At 45.5% G+C, this 3,935-nt stretch overlaps 1 protein-coding gene across 35 annotated transcripts in view, besides 1 other annotated feature; it reads left to right on the plus strand.

Annotated features, from left to right (window-relative positions):
- FHAD1 (forkhead associated phosphopeptide binding domain 1) overlaps window positions 1-3,935 on the plus strand; it is a 166,490-nt gene that overhangs the window by 160,299 nt on the left and 2,256 nt on the right. For 17 of the 35 annotated variants that reach the window (XM_017000198.3, XM_017000200.2, XM_017000201.2 and 14 more), the window contains 2 exons: window positions 478-630; window positions 3,135-3,464. In XM_017000198.3, coding sequence (XP_016855687.1) covers window positions 478-575 — 98 coding nt within the window. In that variant the 3' untranslated portion in view covers window positions 576-630; window positions 3,135-3,464. Of the gene's footprint in view, window positions 1-477; window positions 1,510-3,134; window positions 3,465-3,935 lie in introns of those variants that run through there. The other 18 variants (XM_024452903.2, XM_047443798.1, XM_024452912.2 and 15 more) reach the window with 4 other exon arrangements.
- Window positions 248-415: a silencer, noted in NCBI's record as "fragment chr1:15723563-15723730 (GRCh37/hg19 assembly coordinates)". NCBI's record gives its function as "represses an EF-1alpha promoter that drives an FKBP-Casp9 reporter gene in an ReSE screen in K562 erythroleukemia cells {active_cell/tissue: K562}" and the evidence as "EXISTENCE:reporter gene assay evidence [ECO:0000049][PMID:32094911]".

Genomic DNA, 3,935 nt, shown 5'->3' on the forward strand with positions numbered 1-3,935 from the left:
AATAATAAGTAAATAAATAAGTACAATACAATAAAATACATGGGAAGTGTCTAGTTCTCCTCATGTTAAAAATAATTAAATAAGGCTGGGTGCGGTGGCTCAAGCCTGTAATCTCAGCACTTTGGGAGGCCAAGACGGGCGGATCACGAGGTCAGGAGATCAAGACCATCCTGGCTAACACGGTGAAACCCCGTCTCTACTAAAAAAAAAAAAAAAAAAAAATTAGCTGGGCGTGGTGGCGGGCGCCTGTAGTCCCAGCTACTCGGGAGGCTGAGGCAGGAGAATGGCATGAACCCAGGAGGCGGAGCTTGCAGTGAGCCGAGATCACACCACTGCACTCCAGCCTGGGCGATAGAGCGAGACTCCGTCTCAAAAAAAAAAAATTAAATAAAATAAAAAATAACAAAACCACTTGAGTGGAACAATTGGAGTCTTGCTGCAATGGAGTTTGTGTGTTTTTTCTCTTGCTTGTTAAAGGTTGGAACCAGAAAAGCCTCCCTAAAGATGGACCAAGAAAGAGAGATGCTGAGGAAAGAGACCTCCAGCAAGTCCAGCCAGAGCCTTTTGCATTCTAAGCCCAGTGGAAAGTACTAGAGAAACCTCGTCCCACCAGGCCTCATGTGATCCTCTGTGAGTTCATGTGACTCTTCTGTGTCATCTGTGTCAAAATACTGAGTTGCTTTTGTAAGTCTTTAAAGATTGTTACCCTAGTGTTTCATTTCCTAGACCAGTATTTTGAACAATATTATATTTTGGAGACTGTGGGGAGAAGGGTTCTTCTTTAAAAATACCTATGAATGTACACGAACTCAGGTATATGAAGAATAGAAGTGTGTAACCCAGATGTCCAGGCCTGGTAGATATAATTATGTGGTCCACGTTGGGTCATGATGTTCCCAAATATCAAACCTCCTAAGACTTCCAACAGACTCACACTTGAGAAAACCTAAGACTTGTACTGGAGCCTCAGGGCAGAATTGTAACCTTGGAGCTCTCAGGGCCTTGGGATAGTGAATTCAAGTCTCCGTTATGGCCTGGCAGGATGGCTCATGCCTGTAATCTCAGCACTTTGGGAGGCCGAGGCAGGCGGATTATAAGATCAGGAGTTTGAGACCAGCCTGGCAAACATAGTGAATACCTGTCTCTACTAAAAATACAAAAATTAGCCAGGTGTGGTGGCACATGCCTGTAGTCCCAGCTACACAGGAGGCTGAGGTGGGAGAATCACTTGAACCTAGGAGGCAGAGGTTGCAGTGAGCCAAGACCACGCCATTGCACGCCAGCCTAACAGAGTGAGACTCTGTCTTTAAAAAAAAAAAAAAATGGCTGGGCCTGTAATCCCAGCTACTCGGGAGGCTGAGACAGGAGAATCACTTCAACCCGGGAGGTGATGATTGCAGGGAGCCAAGATCACACAACTGCACTCTAGCCTGAGTGACAGAGCAAGACTCCATCTCAAAAAAAAAAAAAAAAAATCTGTTTATTGTAATAAATTTAGAACACCAATCAGTTTTATTGCTTCCATAATAATGACTAACGTCTGTATAGCACTCTACAATTTTCAAAACACATCTCATTTAATCCTCCCCCTGCCCCTGGGAGGTAAATAGTATTAGATTCCCCATTTGACAGATGAGGAAGCCAAGGCCCTGAGAACTTACATGGCCTGCCTAAAATCACACAGCTAGTCAACTCAAGAGTTGAGTCTTGAACCCAGGTTTCTAATTCCATCTCATACTGTCCATTCGGATACACCAGATGGCCTAGTTGTTACAGTCCCAGGCCACAAGGACAGACCAAGTCCCCAGTCACCAAAGAGCACACACTGCCTAGGTACACACACTCCTGTTCCACGGTGTTTGGAGAGACCCCCATTTTCCTTGCTGCACTCTCTGCTCCTTCCAAGTTCTGCCTTCTCTCCATCTATCCGTGCCCTCACTGCCATTCTTGTGTGGCCAGGCAGCCAAAAAAAAAAAAAATGGAAGAGCCAGAAATCATGAATACTTTTTTTTTTTTTTGAGACAGAGTTTCACTCTGGTCGCCCAGGCTGGAGTGCAATGGCGCGATCTCTGCTCACTGCAACCTCCGCCTCCCAGGTTCAAGCCATTCTTCAGCCTCAGCCTCCTAAGTAGCTGGGATTACAGGCACCTGCCACCATACCCGGCTAATTTTTTGTATTTTTAGTAGAGATGGGGTTTCACCATGTTGGCCAGACTGGTCTAGAACTCCTGACCTCAGGTGATCCACCCACCTTGGCGTCCCAAAGTGATGGGATTACAGGCATGAGCTACCGCGGCCAGCCTACTTTTTTTATTTTTAAAAAGCCACAATAAAATTTTTTTTATATTTTAAAACCAAATATATTCTTTAAACCCATTAAACCTGGGGGAAGTAGGACAAACTCTTTGTGTGATATTCCATTGGAGGCACATCTTACACATGGTTAGGACCTAAAGCCAGTGAGAGGCCAGGCATGGTGGCTCACATCTGTAATCCTAACACTTTGAGAGGCTGAGGCAGGAGGATTGCTTGAGCCTAGGAGTTCCAGATCAGCCTGGACAACACAGTGAGACCCTGTCTCTACAAGAAACTTAAAAATTAGCTGGCATGGTGGTGTGTGCCAGTAGTCACCACTATTTGGGAGGCTGTGCTGGGAGGATCGCTTGAGCCCAGGAGGTTGAGGCTGCAGTGAGCTATGACTGTACCACTGCATTCCAGCCTGGGCAACAGAGCAACACCTTGTCTCAAAAAAAAAATAAAGTCAGTAAGAAAGGAGAGTGTAACTTGACTTTACAAATACACTAGAAAATCTCAGAAATGTTCAAAAACCTAATAAAGAACCTGGTATTAGACTGTACCATATCCCCAAATATAGAGCTGAGAATCTTGATGCAGTTCCAGGGCTAAAGCAGACATTTCCCCACTTGTGTTCAGGGAAACAAAGCCAGTCTTCAGAAAAAAGGAGGCTGGAATAAATATGCAACAAGGAGAGATAAAAAACCCACAGAGGCAGTGCAGCAGATACTGCAGCTGCTCAGCAGATACTAAGTCTACTTAGTCATTGCTCAGCCATCACTTTCCTCTACCATATAGGCTCAAAGCTAATCACCATGATTTTCCCGCCTCCCTTGCAGCTAGGACGGGCCATGTTGGACCAATCTGGCTAATGACATATAAGGAAAAGCTCCTGTGGAGGGCTTCCCTTCCAGCTTCTCTAGGTGAAAGCATTCACCCTTGGTACCTTTGTCTTGTCTCCTTTCTCACTCCTGGAGCTCAGACCAGAAGCTGGAGCAGCCACCTTGGGGATCAGCAGACACCAGCAGCAGGCCAAAGGATAGTGGAGTGGAGGGACAAGAAGGCCTGGGTGAGCCTTCTCTGAGAATCACTGAGCTCTGAACCATGAATGAACTGCCTACCTCTGTACTTCCTGTTGTATAGGACAAAGAAATCCCTATCTATTTAAACCACTGTAGTCAGGTCTATGTATTTGTGCTGTGGAACAAACCACCCAAACTGAGTGACTTAAAATGACAAATATTTATTATTTCTTTTGATTCCATGGGTCAAGCTGCACACTTTTCCTGTCTGGACTGTCTTGGCTGGGGCTGGATGGTTTAGAATGGCCTCTTTCATACACCTGGCCTCATACACCTGGCCTTGGCAGGCAAGTTGGGTTAGGGTAGTAGTTCTCAACAAGGAGCAATTTTGCCCCCCAAGAGAACTTTGGCCATGTCTGGACATAATTTTAGTTGTCACAACGAAGGAAGGGCAGGTGCTCTTCTAGAGGTAGAGGCCAAAGGTGCTGCTAAACATTCTACAATGGACAAAAGAACTCCCCATAACAAAGAATTATTTGATCTAAAATGTCAGTAGCACTGAGGTTGAGAAACCTGGTCTAGAGAGGCCTTCCACTGCCACGCTTTGTCTCTGCTCAG

This window comes from Homo sapiens, chromosome 1 (assembly GCF_000001405.40).
Source record: "Homo sapiens chromosome 1, GRCh38.p14 Primary Assembly".
In the NCBI taxonomy this organism is placed as follows: domain Eukaryota; kingdom Metazoa; phylum Chordata; class Mammalia; order Primates; family Hominidae; genus Homo; species Homo sapiens.